This window comes from Homo sapiens, chromosome 7 (genome assembly GCF_000001405.40).
Source record: "Homo sapiens chromosome 7, GRCh38.p14 Primary Assembly".
Classification (NCBI taxonomy): Eukaryota; Metazoa; Chordata; class Mammalia; order Primates; family Hominidae; genus Homo; species Homo sapiens.
The window spans coordinates 142,010,334-142,028,155 of record NC_000007.14 but is presented as its reverse complement, the minus strand read 5'-3'; the positions used below and the strand labels follow the sequence as shown (position 1 = coordinate 142,028,155).

Genomic DNA, 17,822 nt, shown 5'->3' with positions numbered 1-17,822 from the left:
AGAACATGTGTAAGGCAAGAAAATCCATACTGAGAAGCATTAAAATGCTACAATTCAAGCTAAAGAGACAAATGCCTTGAAAACTCAAATAAAAACACCTGTAAAATGTAGTCAATACAGTAAGCACAAAAAAAGTTTACTAATAAAATACATAATAAGAAAAATAGAGACAAAAACAGATTGCCTCCCAACACATAATTATGGTCTCCCAATCTATTTCATACTATAAAGAACAATGGTTCCTTGAAAAAATTACTGGTCCAACAAAAAAAAAAATGTCTAGTATTCTGAATATCTAAAACTCCTTTCATTACCAAATAAATAAATCAATTAAACTCAGGGAGAGAAAATATAAACAGTTTTTCTTTTTCTTCAAGGGAATTTCTTTACTTTTGGAGAACTGTTGAAAACCTTGCTTACATAAGGGAGCTGTGCTGCGCGATTTCTCTCCACGACTTCCCTCATGTTGTCTAAGGTTCCATATTCGTAACGACTGAGGTGAAATCCAAGCGCCCAGTAGGAGGGAAGGGCTGGCCGCCCAATGAGCTGAAAGAAATATGTGAAGTGAAAATTAGCAAATACTCTGTTTTTAATAAAAATTTTTCGAAGCATTGCTTTCAGAGCACCAAACATAGTCCATTTCCCAATGCACTGATTCATTAATGTTAGAATGTTAGTCTATTTTTCCAGCCCCTTCATAAATGTTTGAGGGTAGGGCCATGTTTGGGGCACCTTTATATTCTCTCACCTTCTTATAACATAAAAATGCTATACAGCAAGTTTCCATTGCATATATGAAATCTGTTCTTTAATATCTCAAATTTGTAACAGCAGATTTTGTGGGTCACACTTGCACATGAATTTTACTTTTTTAAAATATTTGCTGTTTAGGATTTCCTGAGTCATAATCTTGACATCCTAAGTTTACCTCTAGATATTCTTGAACAACTTGCTCTGGAGTGTTTCCCAAGAACACATAGAAGTCGAGAATGCCCCCAATGGTGCGGTAAGTGATGGCTGGCGCAGGCTGAAGGACAACCTCTTGAAAGGTTAAAAATGAAGAAAATAAAAATCAGAATTGATTCTTGAATAGTAACTACAAGTTTTAAAATAACACAGGATCACTAACCATGTGAACATTAACAAGGTGACCCTAGTGCCTCACATTTTGAATACCAAGTGAAAACCCTGACCATCCAAGTCCACCCTCACAGCACATGGCAGCCAAGGCATTTTTTCTGTGACAGATTTTAATAATACTGACTGGAGTGTCTTAGTGTCTTGTGCCAGGCCCCAGGTTCTGGGGAAAAAGCAGCCAGGCTTATGAAGGGGTCCAGAATAAGCCACTGTGACATAAAAAAATTATTTTGGACCAAAGGCATTTAAGTTACTGAAATCCCTGATGTGCTAAAATCAGAGCCTCCCAAAAGAACTCAATAAAAAGCAATTGTCATAAATCTGCTCCAAGGAGTACCTCTAGTCTTCTCTGAGACAACAGGCACCATTCCCAGATAAACAGTGTTACAAGACTATCACATCCTCCCACCTACTCTCCTAAGGGCCCATTTATCTTTCCAAAATGTCATTTGTTCTCTCCTAAGTGTCTTTCCCCATTCCCTTTCACCTATTAATTAAGATGGTATAGAAGCCCCAAGTTCTAATCTCTGCTTTGAGTTACTCATCACTGAGAATTGCTGTGTGTATGTGCATTGTATGTGTAAATAAATTCTGTCTTTTCTATTGCTAATCTACCTTTTTGCCAGTTTAATTTGCAGCCTCCCAAGAATTAACCCTAAGAGGTTAGAGGAAAAGTTTCTCCTCTCTGACTTTCATAACCACAGAACATGTCCCACCACATACCCCGTCATTATTGTGAGAATATAATTCAACTAGACATGGAGGTAACTAACCTCAGTGAATCTCACCTCAAACAAAAGCCAAACTAAAAAAAAAAAGTCAGAAATTGTATCATAAATTCAAAACCCTTCTATGTGCCAATCACCATTCTTAAAAGTTGTGTCATTACCTTGATTCGTATCTAGGAATAAAATGCCTCAAGAAATATTGCAATGTACTCTTTGGTCATAGGAACAACTCATACAGAGTATCTAGGATCTTGTGGCCTTTCCCACTAAGTCTGACTCATCTTATTTTCTGGTTCCTTTCACCTATCTAAAACTGTACAGTCTTTCTATTATATTATCTCAGTCTATTCTTAGGTTATTTGGTATTTTAAGTACCTTAGGACCATCTAAGATTCTATTAGAATCGTCTTAGATTCATCTCTTAGATGTCCTAGAATCATGTTAGATCATTTAGAGTGCTTCTCGGATATCTGTGGTGGAGAATCAGATCTTTATTTTGTTTAATTTCCATTTCACTGCAAGCTGATATTTTCATAAAATAATATGAAAATTAATTACTAGAAAAAGGTTCATGTGTGCGTGTGGAGGCTACAGCATTGCTTACTCGCCATTTCTATACTCATCTTACTATAGACCTGAAACAGTCTGTGACCCATTCAGGGACCACACTTTGAGGAGCACTGATTGAATCGATGACTCTCAATTAAGAAAAGGTATGGATCAATACCCTATGCCCACCATCAATCCTGGGAGATTCTGATACATCTTCTCTTCCCCTATGGCAATTCATTGCCACTGGGATCTACTGACTACAGGGCTGAAGACGGAGAAGAACACATTGGTGGAAACTATCTCAGAGTAAATTATAGGGAAGGGTGAGCTCCTTAACTTGATAATAGAAAATATTCCAACAGAGGCCACCAGATTCAGGAAAATCATAAGTTGGAGAAAATCCCCTACTCATGGCTACCATGGATCAATAGGTAATGAAGTAGGGATAGCACAATTAGAGAATCTATAAGGCCCTCCCTACACTATGGCTCAGTCACTCTTAAAGGGATCCATTCCTTTTATCATAGTGCTGTAAGAAAGGGACTGAAAATCACTCTTGTGCTTGTTTTTTCCATGAATATTCCTTTACCCATGGCATTGCTGTTCATCAGAAACACCCCAAAGGACAATCCACTAGCATCTTCAAGGCACAAGAAGAATGTCTGCGCACCATACAAATTAGTTCCGTTCTGCAGAAAGAGAATTAAAAACCAAAATTTACAACTAAGAAGTCTCAGCATCACACTGTGGGGTTGGTTTAGGAAATCAGTCTTAATCATGCAACTAATTGACAGGACATTCAGGGTCATAAAGACACATTTTTAAAAGATGGGGTCTATATCTAGTTGATGTTAACCAAGTGAACTCATGTTTTCTTACAGAATGAGCCAGCTATTATCATTCATCTAGAAGGAATGTGAAGGCTGTGATATTTTTTAGAAGGTAAGAGGATAGGAATTTTTAAAATGTAATTCAGAAAAACTGCCCTCTCAAAGAGGCCTGTCTTAACCTGACTTAACCTCATCAGCAAAAGCTCCATCAATATGCTTTAATATGAATCAGGTAACTAGATGGAGCTCTAGTCTAGGCTTGTCTTTGAGACTCCAGAACAGGAGTTCTCAACCTAGACTGCACCCCAGACCAATTAAAACAGAATCCCTAGAGGTAGAAGCAGACATGGCTGTTATTTTTTAACTTCCCCAGGTAACTTCAACATGTAGTCACATTTGATAACTATTGCTCTGGAAAAGTGTTTCTCAAAATTTGGTGTATCTGCAAACTACATGGGCATTTTAGTTAAATGCAGATTTTTTTTTTTTTTTTTCCAGACAGGGTCTCACTCTGTCGCCCAGACTGGAGTGCAGTAGTGTGATCTTGGCTCACGGTAACCTCCACCTCCCAGGCTCAAGCAATTCTCCTGCCTCAGCCTCCTGAGTAGCTAGGATTACAGGCGTGTGCCACTACCGCCTGGCTAATTTTTGTTTCGGTTTTTATTTTATTTTATTTTTTTGAGATGGAGTCTCACTCTGTCACCCAGGCTGGAGTGCAGCGGCTCAATCTCGGTTCACTGCAAGCTCTGCCTCCTGGGTTCATGCCATTCTCCTGCCTCAGCCTCCCAAGTAGCTGGGACTACAGGCACCCGCCACCACCATGCCCAGCTAATTTTTTGTATTTTTAGTAGAGACAGGGTTTCACCAGGTTGATCTTGAACTCCTGACCTCAAATGATCCACACGCCTTGGCCTCCCAAACTGTTGGGATTACAGACGTGAGCCACTGCTCCCAGCCCTAAATGCAGATTTTAATTCAATAGATGGAAGAAGGGACTGAAAGCCCACCTCTCTCAGAGGGTGGTTCCCCTGCCACATACACACTTTGAGAAGCAAGGATCTGAGGCTCCTTAATGAAACAACTGTCACCAACTATTCCTAGGTAAGCTGCTCTGACTTAACAGCTTTTCTGCTTTTCTGATAGGCATATGTACAGTACAGAGCCTGGGCTTAAAAATTACACAGAGTAGGGATTAGATTCTTCCTCTGTTCTTACAACCTCTTTTTTTTTGAGACAGAGTCTCGCTCTGTCACCCAGGCTGGAGTGCAGTGGCGCGATCTCGGCTCATTGCAAGGTCCACCTCCCGGGTTCAGGCCATTCTTGTTCTTACAAACCCTTTTGCCTTGAGCTATTAATTTGGCTTCGCTGGGCCTTGGTTTTTTCTAACAAGAAATTATTATATTTTCTAGACTCTATGGCTAAATAGATATATATACACAAACATGTATGTGTGTGTGTGTGTATATATATATATATATGACTAATAAATTATTGCTGTAATCTCCTTTCTTCCATCCATTAATTCTGCTTAGTCAAGAAAGCCCAGCTGGGCACAGTGGCTCACATTTGTAATCCCAGCACTTACGGGAGACCAAGGCCAGAGGATTGCTTGAGTCCAGGAGTTTGAGATCAGCCTGAACAACATGGCGAAACACAGTCTCTACAAAAAAAATACAAAAATTTGGCCAGGCATGGTGACACGCACCTTTAGTCTCAGCTACTCCAGACACTGAGGTACGAGGGTTACCTGAGCCCAGAGAGGTTGAGGCTAAAGTGAGTCATGGTTGTGCCACTGTACTTCAGCCTGGGTGACAGTGAGACCCCATCTCAAACAAAGAGAGAAGAAGAAAAGAAAAAGAAAGGCCCTGAACAACAGAGTATTGCCAAATCCAGAAAACAATGTTACTTCAAATTTTAGCAGTCAAAACAAAGTGGAAATAAAATAAAACAATAACAACAAAACTCTGTCTATTCTTTCACTACCACAATCATTCTTTATACAAAAAATGATTGTTTTAGCTGAGACTTTATCCTATTGTGATGATAAACCTGGTGAGTCAGTGATTAAAGGTGAACCTAAAAATATGGAGATCACAATCAACTGTTGTTGAGAGTACAGATATTAATAATATCTTCTCCATATCTGGTTAGGAAAATATGAAGGAGTTGGCATTTATTGAGTACCTTCTTTCTGGCAGCCATTCTTCTAGATACATTACATGTATCTGTTCATTTCATCCTCACCACAACCCTATTGAGATATTACTTCCATTTTATAGATAAGAAACTGAAGACAGAGAGGTAGGTAACACCCAGAACCACGTAACTGGTGAATAGCAAGACTAGAATTCAAAGCCAGGTAGTCTCACTCTAGACTCTAACTCTTAAACACTACACTGTAATACTAGAGGTGACCTTTAAGAATGAGACTATGATATTCAGTGGAAAGGGGCCCATTTGAAAGCTTACTCCATTGGGAGTTGTGTCTCTGTTAAATATGGGCCAGGTCTTCCAATTCATATCATGCCGATACTGCTGGTGCACATGCTCTCCCAGGCCATACACGTTAGTGCTAGGCAGTCGAGTGGAGAGCTGCAAGAACTGGTCAGCAAACAGTAGGGGCCCAATGCTCGAGTCAAACCTAGACACAGGTGGAGAACACAAGGATGGGTGAGCAAGCAGGGTGGAGAGAACGTAAGTGCTTAGAAAAGCGTCCTTTATATCTCAGTGACTCAATAGCCCCCATTCATTCAGTCCCATTTGCCCTCCTGTGACATTTTTCTATGGAAAACAAGAGATAAGGACTCCTTGAAGAAAGGGACCATGTGCAAATTTCTTGCATTAGTCTCCCAGACCAGACAGCCTACTACATGACCAGAACACTATACTTACGATAGGAGATGTTCAGTAAATATTTACTGGTGGACAGCTGGTTATATATTATAGACGGAGGGAAATAAAGGGAAAAATAAAGAGAAAAAAATGATTGTGCAAACAGAGGAAAGAGAAAGAAAGCCAGAAAAAAATGTATACTTTAGAAGGTAAAGGTTCTGGTCACCAATAATGGGCCCACAACCTTCAGGAATATTGTTGAAACACCCCCTTCTTCATGCTTACAGACCTCCCTGTAACCTTCCTACTCTGATCCTTAGATAGGTTTCCAAAACTTACAAAACACGATTGTTGCTTCTTCTGGTCACTTTGATGCTAAATGGCTGTCTGGAGATTTCAACTTGGTAGGTCAAAGAAGCAGCAGCATTTCCACTGAAGGACTGCACGTGTTCGTGGGGCACTTCAAACCTGTTATTGGTTTGGTCAGTCAACTGTGCAGAGATAGAAATAGAAGGAAAGCCAAAATAAAAACTTGTCAGAGCTTCCCAATATCCCTACTTAGGATACTGGAATCAGGCACTGATCAAACTGACCTCATATCTTAGGTAGATGTACTCATTATGTTACCAAACTCAAATGGTTCACCTTTGGGCATAAGTTAGTCTTTAGGTAGAGACATACAGAGCACATCTGCAGAGATGGATTGAAAGCTGTGATACTTCCTTATTTTATCTTCCTACCATATTCCACATGTTATCTAGAGTAAATGAATGAAAGCCAAACTCACTAGTAAACTGTAATACATATTCAGGAAGTTATTACAGTAAAGGAAGCTATTCTGTATATGTCTTTAACATACAGGTGCTAATTAATAATAGCAATATAGAAAAATACATCCAGTAGCAAAATTTTCTATTTTGTAGTAACTGCACTCATCCGATAGGGAATAAAAGTCTCTCAAAAAAACTTAAAAAAAAATAAACAAATTACAACCTTAAAGTGGAAACGATTAGATGTCTGATATTCTGCTGTGAGAAGAACATTGTCAACATTGCTTCCAAACACTGGTGAAGAAGGCAGATTTTTCAACCGGGCTGTGAATCCTAACATAGGAGAAAAAAAAGGTTTTCATAGTTGACTCTGCAAATTCTCAAATAATAGCTACATAAAAATTATGATACACGGGGCTGGGTGCAGTGGTTCACACCTGTAATCCCAGCACTTTGGGAGGCCAAGGCAGGTGGATCACAAGGTCAGGAATTCGAGACCAGCCTGACCAACGTGGTGAAACCCCATCTCTACTAAAAATACAAAAATTAGCCGGGTATGGTGGTGCATGCCTGTAATCCCAGCTACTTTGTAGGCAGGAGAATTGCTTCAACCCCAGAGGTGGAGGTTGCAGTGAGCTGAGATCGCACCACAGCTCCAGCCTGCATGACAGAGTGAGGCTCCTTCTCAAAAAAAAAAAAAAAATATATATATATATATATTAGGATACATGTCAAAGGGATTGATGAAAAATCTTTATTTCTCAAAAGAAGGGAAAAGACAGATATATACCCCATCATACGCACATACTATCTATGGCAGATTCTGGAGCTAGATATCATCATTACATTTTATAAAAATCTATGTCTCTCTTCTACAAAATCTGATTGAAAACCTCCCCCAATAAGCCTAACACTCATTCCACAGGCCCATCAGTCATTCGGTATTAATTAGATACCCTTTACATTCTCAGACCTGACATACATATACATAATTCCTTCTCAGTTATTTTCATATTGCATTACAGGTGATTATATCCATTGATGCCATCTCCCTAATTAAATGGTAAACCAGGTGAGAGTTGAGACCTCATTGCAACAGTCCATCAGGCCAAGAGCATCTGAAAGGGGAACATGCCTCCTCCTTTATACCGAGAGCCTCCCTAAAGTGTCACCTTCTGCTATCCCCTAGAATGGTCATCATTGTCATCATTATACTCTGCATTTTTTTTTTTTTTTTTGAGACGGAGTCTCGCTCTGTCACCCAGGCTGGAGCGAAGTGGCACAATCTCAGCTCACTGCAACCTCTGCCTCCTGGGTTCAGGCGATTCTCCTGGCTCAGCCTCCTGAGTAGCTGGGACTACAGGCACATGCCACTACACCTGGCTAATTTTTATATTTTTAGTAGAGATGGGGTTTCGCCATGTTGGCCAAGCTAGTCTCAAACTCCTGAGCTCAGGTGATCTATCCACCTCGGCCTCCCAAAGTGCTGTGATTACAGGCATGAGCCACTGTGCCTGGCCTATGCTTTGCATTTTAGAGTAGGAGGAAGAAGAGGGGCTATTCACTCCATGAACACTTATATTGACTAGTAACTTTCATAACATGTTTATAAAATTGGAATTACTTCCATTTCATAAAAATAACATAAAATTACAGTTGGAAGTAGTCTGAGAGGTTACCAATTTCAAATCCCCCACTTTAAAAGGGATAAACTTGAAAACAAAAATGATCAATGATTATTGCAGTCATGAAGGTCCATAAATGGGGAAGTTGGAAAGAGGACATGGTCTCTCAACTCCCAAGGCAGAGAATAATTTTTCCTTGGTGCCCACATAGATTCTAGTCCTCGATTAAGAGCAATGCCCACCTTCTGTCACATGTGGTTATATGGCCCCACAGAGCAGAACTCTGCAGGCTGCCCCTGGGGGATACAGAGTCAACCTCCAGAGGGTCTGGACCTCCTGCATCATGGCAGACTCTGGCTTACCTGCATTTGTGTTGACAAGGTTGCCCTCTACATGGTAGCTATGATTCTTGGAATAGTAGCACCAGGGAACACTTACAGCTCCCTGGGGATTCCAGCAACAGCCACGTTGGTCACATGTGGCCTGAAACAAGAGGTTAGTCAAAGAAGCTCCATTTAGTTGTAGAACATGATCATTTATAAAGCACGAAACATCTAATTTGAGACTCTGGTATGAATAATTTCATTTTACAAATAAGGAAACTGACATTTAGATAAATTGTGCCATATACCAAGCAATGGCAGAGTTTCTACCCACAACCAATTTTTCTGACCAGTGTCCTTCTTATGTAACAGTATGGGAAGCAAAATGCATTCTATAACTTTTATCACAAAAAAAAAAACTCATAAATATATTTAAATAGTCTAAACAATAATATAGCTATATCACCAGTAATCCAAAATTACAAATGGAGCTTCATTTATATCGGCTTTGACTTTTAAAAATGAAAATAAGACTTTGCAATCATCTGTATTCTGAAGCTTTCAAATCAAACTAATGTTGTTTTGACTTTTAAATATATGCCTTACATTTATATGGATTATACATATGTGAGATATATGACATGTTTACAGTCTCTCAACTCCTCCAGAGGCAGAAAGTAGTCTTTCTTGACACCCAAATAGATTCTTACTTAAGAAAGGTGTGTGCCTTCTAACATAATTAATGACTGAATCAAGTAGAAGCCAAAATGAAGATAGTTTCTTTCTCACACCAACTAATTTGGGAGAAGCAACCAAGTTAAATACAAAAAAGGACAAAGAACTCTCTCCTCTTGAGTGCATGCTGAATCAAGTGATTTGCAAGTAATAGAAACAAGAGAAAACAATGAGACGCTGCTTTCAAGATTAGATCACAGAAAGATTGAAGTTTCTGTCTTGCTTGCTCTCTTTCACCTTCTCTGTTGGAGTCCTCATTCTGGGAGAGGCAAGTTGTCACACTGTGGAGGGGCTCACATGGTAAGGAACTGAGGGAGGTCTCCAGCTAGCAGCCAGCAATGAACTGAGGCTCTCAATCCAACAACACCTGAAGAGCTGAATCCTACCAACAATTGCATGAGTGAGCTTGAAAACGATCATCCCATAGTCCTGGAAGACACTTTGACTGCAGCCTTCCAAGAGACACTGAGCCAGAGGCACCTAGCTAAGCCAAGGTCAGATGTCTGACTACAGAAGCTGTGAGAAAATATTTGTCATATTAGGCCATTAAATTTTGGAATAATTTATTACACAGCAATAGATAACTAATACATCCTACCAGATCATTTTACAGATGAATTACCTTTGGCCCATGGTGGTAAAGCTTCTCCGAGGTAAAGTGACCTGCCAAAGGTTACTCAGCTATTGAGAAGGCAAGAACAAAACTTGGTTCTCTTACTATCCATTTCTTTTTTTTCTATACTCTGGGTTGAGTATCTCTAAGCACATTTTCAGGAGAATACAGCCTTGCAAATGGTCAGAAAAATGTTTTGCTTAGTTATACAAATAATGAAATTTAATTAAATGCTATTTTTTACACTAATAGCCAATATGAGGGATAAACAACGATGTCCATATGTGGTTTATACTGCCGTAAGATCAGGTGTCACTGTGAACTCAACCTCAATCCACGGTTTTGTCTTTGTTCTTGTAAAACCCACTCAGAGGAAACCTCAGCATAAAAAGAAAAAAAAGTGTTGAAAAGGGTGTTAAGCATGATGGTTTTTGTATACAGCCCAGAGTTTAATAATTTTTCCATTAAACTGGAAAGGACAAAGATCAGAGTGGCCAAAAGAGCAAGGAATGCAAACAGTCTTTGTTGGCCAACTCAAAAATGCCAGCTTCTACAGTAGAGCTGAGCCATTGCAAGAAGTGGGAAGAGACATGGTGCAAGACCCACATAATAAGACAAAGCAAACTATGTAAAACCTAGGAAAATAGATTTAGAAAGAAACTACAGAAAATGATGGCATGAATAGAATTAGGGCACACAAAAAGAATTAGGCCCAGGACACAAAATGCCCCTTTAAGTTGGATATGAGAATTAAAAATTTAAGAGAAACTGCCAAAATAATATAGAATGTGTAACTACCAAAACAGTACTGAAGGAAAATTGTTAGAGTTGTGGGGAGTGTGGAAATCCTCGATCCAAAAAATTAAGAAAAAAGACATGTTTATGAAGGAGTAGGGGTGGGGACTAGCACATAAACAGGATGAAGAGAAGGCACAAAATGAGACCTTAGAAAGAATGTGTCATGTCAACTATCACATGGTTTAAATATTTAAAAGACAAAGATAGTCAGATTACATTTAAAGAAGTAAGTCCAACTAAATGTTTCTTATAGTTTACACATCCTAAACTAAAGCTCACAAAAGCCCTGAAAGTAAAGGGGAAAACAAATATGTAAAAAGAATGCCAGCTGGGTGCAGTGGCTCTCGCCTGTAATCCCAGCACTTTGGGAGGCAGGCAGATCACTCGAGGTCAGGAGTTTGAGACCAGCCTGGCCAACATGGTGAAACCCCGTCTCTACTAAAAATACAAAAATTAGCTGGCTGTGGTGGTTCATGGCTGTAGTCCCAGCTACTCAGGAGGCTGAAGCAGGAGACTCACTTGAACCCAGGAGGCAGAGGTTGCAGCGAGCCGAGATTGTGCCACTGCACTCCAGCCTGGGTGACAGAGTGGCACTCCATCTCAAAACAATAAAATAAAATAAAAGCCATACTAATATCAGGCAAATAGACTTTAAGTAAAAATTCATTATTAGAGAGACATAGAGTCAGTACATGATGATTAAAGTTTCAAGATATTACAGCTAAAACTGGATATATACCTAATAATAAAGACTCAAAATATATACAAGAAAAGTTTAAAGAATCACAAGGTAAAATTAAGGGAGATAGTACATAACAGAATATTTTAAGAACACCCAGAGTAATTGATGGATAATGTACATAAAGGATGGAAAGATATGTTACTTTTTATATAATAGCTATACAGGCTCTTTCGCCAACACGAAGAGGAGTAGTGAATAGAATTCAGAGATAGAGACAAGCCAGATACTGAAGACACTGCTTAAGAGTCAATCAAGCTCTGCTCTACCCCAATCCTCTCCTCCTCCAATTCCCAATGCTTCTTAACACTTAAAAGAGAGAGAAGGGAAGAAACAAAGAAAGTACTTTATGTCAAAAGCAAACATGAAACATAAAGGATAACTACAGCCGAGTCTTATCCATGAACATAAATGCAAAAGCCTAAAAGAAAAAGCACACAAAGGATTAATAACAGAAATCAGTACATATTAAACGAATAATAACCAAGTGGTGTTTCCTCCAGAAATAAGGAGATCCTTTAATAATAGAAAATCTACTTGTGTGATTCATTAAAAAAAACTCATTTTAAAAAGTATACCATATAATCATTTGAATTCATCAGCTATCATAATAAAATTTTTAGCAAACTTGGAATGAAAAGCAACTTCCTTAGTTTGATCATGGATATCCACCAAAACTGTACAACAAGTATCTTACTAAATGGTAACATATTAAAAGGATTCCTTTTAAAATCAGAAAAAAAAACCTAAGTGATCCATCACTATGATTGCTTATAATTTAAAAATATATTGGAGGTTCTAACAATTCAAGAGGACAAGAAAGAAAAATGTACAAGACTGAAAACAATGAAGCCAAATCATCCATTACTTCCAGACAAAATATTGTCTCGGTAGAAATTCAAGAAAATTTATAGAAAAAATAGAATGAATAACTCAATTATTATTATATTAGATTCTTTTTTTCTCTTCTTAAATCTATAACTTTTTGTTTTTTGCCTTTAGGCTTTTAGTCTTCCTGGAATTGTTTTTGAGATACAATGTAATATGGGAATACATAGTTATCAAAACATAAGTCACAATTGTTGATAGGCTTGACTCTATTAAAATGTAAAACTTTTGTTCATCAAGACAGTATAAAATAGATGAGCAAAGCCTCTTAACAGTAAATATTTGCAACATATATGATAAGAATAAGAATCCAGAATCACATGAATGAACAAACGGGAAGACTGTACACATCAAGAAGATAAACATCTCAATATAAAATCGGGCAAGACAGAAAAATTCACAGAAAAGAACTAAATGAGAGATGTTCACCAATATTAGTATTCAGAAAAATTAGCACTGAAACCACAACAGAACACTATTTTATAATCCTCAAATGGCAAAACTTTAAAAGACTGTCAATTCCAAAGAAGATACAGAAAATGACAGTGAGATGGTAAATCGGCACAGCCACTTTGGAGATCAATTTGATAATGTCTAGTAAACTTAAGATATATATCTAAAATCACACAGATGCAAGTAAAAAAAAACTTACAAAAATATTCAGAATGGGACTGATGTAACTTCAATATATTGAAGAAAAACTTTTTTTACTGTAGAATGATTTTGATTTATTTTTGCCATAAAATTGACATAATTTTATACAATTGTGTACCAGTTTTATAGCAAAATAAATGAACTAGAGATATCTATCAACATAGTTAAATCTCACAATGTTAAGCGCATAAACAAAAATGCATTTTGTTTATAGGCTGTATATATCTATTATTTACAAGTATATATAGAGGTAGTAAAGGTTGAAAGGAATGCATGGTAAATATCAATTTCAAAAGTGTGGTTACTTCTAAAGAGGATGGAGGAAAAGGTAATAATACAGAAGGGATATGCGTGGGGGACTTCATCTCTGCTGATAATATTTTATTTCTTAAGCTGGATAATGGTTATATATTTTTGTATATCTTAAATATTTATGAATAATTATTTCAAAGAAGTTAACGCTATATAGAAAAAATCAAAACCATTGTGAAAATAAATAATAGAAAATAATATAGAACTGCCTATTTTCTCAACTCCCTATCTTTTATCAAGTCCCAAACGTGTCATTATTTTTCAAGCTTTCATATACTGGATTACCAAGAAGACTATAATAATCATGCCTAACAATATAAAAACAGAGACTGAAAACATTCCATATTTTGCCAAAGTCCCTTCCAACATAACGACCTACAGAACTGCTGAAAAATGTACAACTTTGCACATTGTGTCAAACACATTTTACTATATTCTCAAACTATGGTCCCTGTCAGAATCACCTGGAAAATTCAGGAAAAGTATAAAAGCTCAGGCCTTATCCTCCTTCACTGAAGCTGGAGTGCTAAGGATTTTATTAGCTCTCTACGTGATGCTAATACAGAACAATGTTGGAAAACTGCTGCTCTAGACCAATGGTTATTAATCTTAGCTGCACATTTGGATCACCTGGCAAATTACAAAAATAAGCAGGCCTGGGATCCACTCCTTAAGAATTAAATCAGAATTTCTGGGACAGAGCCTAGGAAATAGAGAAAAAGAGAAGCAAACAGAAAGTAGTAAAATGAAAACCACTAAATGATAATCCATGATTCCTACTGTTACAGGAAAACAGAGAAGCCCCAGGTGCTTGTGGGCTGACCAGTGTAATGGGTAGAGAGAAGAACCAGAAAAAACCTAAAGGAATCTGTCACAGACTTTCTCTCCTAACACATTTTCTGTAGTAAGCATGTGGGCCTTTTAGTTTTAAAAATACTTTCTCACATATTTTTGTATAAAAAAGAGAAATTGCCACCCTATTCTCAAAAGCCTATTCTAAAGGTGAAATCAATTATCAACTAGAAACTTTCTCGAAAGTAATTCCCTATGTCTTTCCACAATATGGGGTGAAAATAATTTACTGATAAGATTACAGGCGCCTTGAAATGCATAAACCATTAGGGCATTAGGAAACAGCAGATCTAAGATTTAAAAAAAAAGAAAATCAAAACTTCAGCAACTACAGCATTCAGGAAAGAAAGAGGGCAAAGTTGCAAGGACAAATGCAAGCTGGTTAAAAGGACATGATCCCAGACTGAGGCAGAGTCAGCTTGAGTGAGTCAGTGGCATCAACCATTTCCTGCCACTGGAGGGAACAGGAGGAGCTCCTCACAATTCGCATTAGACCTCAGTCACTCAACTCTGCCACCCACCCTATTCCCAGTGCTGACTCCTCTAACCTGTGCCACCCCATCCTGCTCTGATCTGTATTGTCCAGGTCACCACAGCCTTCACCATTAACAGCAGCCTTTATGCTACTCTGAAAAAAAAAATAAGCATTCCTCTGCAGTTGTTTAAAATGGCCATCAAGTTCTCTTAACACACTTTGTGTCAAGAGGTGGAGTCTGTCGCTGTTCCTGTTGAAGCTGGGCCGCCCTGAGACTGATCTGATCAACAAAATGCATCAAAAGTGATACTATGCTGGTTTAGGTGTGGTATTTAAGAGAACTGGAAGCTTTTGCCTCTGTCTCTTGCAGCACTGAGCCACCATGTAAGAAGTTCAGCTACCCTGCTGGAGAGAGTACCAAGAGAGACTCCGTGACTACATGGAGGGGAAGAGGGTGCAGTCAGTCTTACCACCATTTTCACCAAGGTACCAGGTATGTGAGTAAAGTCATCTTGAAACCTCCAGACAAGATCAGCCACCAACTAAATACCACCATATCATGTAATCCCAGTAAATGCTATGTGGAACAGAACCATTCAGCCAAACCCTGGCAGAATCTCTGACTTACAAAATCACTACATATAATAAAACAATTGTTGCTGCAAACCACTAAGTTTGGATAGTTTGTAATTCAGTAGACAAATGGAGAAGCTTGCCCTAAGAAAACAGAAGTCTAAGAAAATAGAAGACTTAGAGCAATTTCAGTTAGACTGGTGCTTTGGCTGGAATGTGCCCCCTCCAAAATTCACGTGTTGCCAGTATGTTAGTATTAACAGTGGGGCCTTTAAGAGGTGATTAGGCCATGAAGCCTCCTCCCAGACAAAGGGAATTAGGTGCCCTTATAAAGGAGACAGTGGGCTGTCTCTTGCTGTCTACGTGCTGCCATGTGAGGATGCAGCAAGAAGGTCCTCACAAGATGCCAGCACCTTGGTCTTGTTCTTTCTAGTCTCCATCCATAACTATGATAAGTAAATTTCTGTGTTTGATAAATTACTCAGTCTTGGGCATTATGTTATAGCAGCACAAAAGAACCTGATGTTGTGAACAAAAAAGGTGGAACCAGAAAGTCTCCACATGAAGAAAATGAGTAGAATGAGACAAAGTATCCCATCTTCAAATAGAGCAGGAATTTTAGAAGTTGAAAGCACTTGATGATAAAGGAATTTCAAATCACCCTCTATTCATCAAAATGTTCTCTAGCTGTTTTTATGTGCAGCAAGTTTGAACTAACGAATGAATAAAATTAGTCTCGACTCTGTGAAATATCTTAAATGTAGGCTATTTTATAATATGTGCATCTTGAGTCAGGTTTTGAAATTTAGCTTGTTAGGCTGGCCACTTCATTTAACCTCAAAGTGAAGTCTAACAGCAAAGACTTTTTAAAACAAAGTTGCCACCTCTGCCATTCCCATAATCCAGTCTTTCTAGTCCCCCAAATCAGACTGTGGTGAATATTCAGAGAAACATTTGCCAGAACCTTAGAGATCACTATTCTAAAATATTTTGAGGTTAGTATAGTGTTCAATAGTCATTTAATCGAACGTTTAATGAGTATGTTTAGCTGAACACATACTGTCTCATTTTACTTAGAAGGATTTCACAGTTTATAAGAAAATGTGACTTACTGATCAAGTCAAAGAGCTTTCCAGAAGCAAAGCCAGGACTGAGTAACTCAATAACCTGGCTCCCCTTACATCCTTTCACTTGACCAATGGCTACATTATCATTTCAAGGTGCCAAACATAAACTTAAGTCTTTTAAGACTTTAAGTTTTTATCTGGGCTCACTGCTCTTCCTAGCACCATATAATGGCTATTAACTGATGTTGTGTAAACACAGAGTAATTTAAAGGTGAAGACTCACAATGATCTTGGCAAAATGCAATACCCTTGCTGCTATATCATAAAACATGATCCCCAACATATTGATAATAAACTGGAATTTGGAAAAGGATATCATAAGCCAAATAAATGAGTAATACATAGACAATTACCAAGTGTGTTCGCTGTAAAAGATGACAAAGCTTCTGTTTAAGAAATATGGTAACCTCTCAAATTATTGAGATTACCACTTATGTTATTGTTATCCTTGGAAATCAACTGTGAATTTCTCTCAGCTTAATTACTCTGCAACATTTACTTAGGGCATGCGGGTTTATCTTTAAGCACGTAACCTGCCCTCCCATGTTTACACAGTGCTTTATAGCCCTGAAAAATCAAAGGATTTAAAAGTATTAACTATCATTTCTTTCCTAAGCTGGATATCTGGAATTTGATGAAATATTCCTGCTCCCTGCCATCAATGGGATCTTTCAACTCTGCGTTCTGGAATTGGGGATAAAAGACTTCATCAAGAAAGTGGAAAGGATTTTAGAATTCAAAGGTTTGGAATAAGTGTAGACAGTTGTCTTTAAAATCTGCATAGAAGTATAGCCTAAGTGAACCTATAGAGGCACAGAGGTAGGGTCTTAGATGATAGAAGACAGTGTTTGAACTTGGCTCAACGTACAGTAATAAACCACTATATGTACTGAAGTTGGGTAGAAATAATAACAAAAGTTGGATGTAAAAAAGAGAAATTCTAATCCCACATGTAACGGAATGGATAGGAGAAATGGAATTCAGAAGGGATGCCAAGGGGCACCTGGAGCAACCCAAGCATGAGGAAATGATGATCTAGGGATGGCTGCAAGAATGGAAATGAAATGCCTCTTCTGGAAATTATTGTTAAGGAAAATATTTTAAAATACATGGAATACTGGCCAAAGGGATAGAAGGGATGAGCCAAGCAGAAGTTCTGCTGTTTCTGTCTCAAGAACTAGAAGCTTAATAGAACTACTAGCAGAAATCTGGTAGCTGAGAAGGAAAAGCAGATTTGGTGAGGAGGTAACGAGTTCAGC

The 17,822-nt window shown here is 38.2% G+C and overlaps 1 protein-coding gene across 12 annotated transcripts in view; it reads right to left on the bottom strand.

Moving 5' to 3' along the window:
* Nucleotides 1-17,822, bottom strand: part of MGAM (maltase-glucoamylase) — a 120,230-nt gene that overhangs the window by 78,592 nt on the left and 23,816 nt on the right. For all 12 annotated transcript variants that reach the window (XM_017012772.2, XM_047421011.1, XM_011516672.3 and 9 more), the window contains 7 exons: nt 8,837-8,957; nt 7,073-7,182; nt 6,419-6,570; nt 5,717-5,888; nt 3,007-3,106; nt 929-1,041; nt 421-546 (listed from right to left, as the gene is read on the bottom strand). In XM_017012772.2, the coding sequence (XP_016868261.1) occupies nt 421-546; nt 929-1,041; nt 3,007-3,106; nt 5,717-5,888; nt 6,419-6,570; nt 7,073-7,182; nt 8,837-8,957 (894 nt within the window). The remainder of the gene's footprint in view (nt 1-420; nt 547-928; nt 1,042-3,006; nt 3,107-5,716; nt 5,889-6,418; nt 6,571-7,072; nt 7,183-8,836; nt 8,958-17,822) is intronic.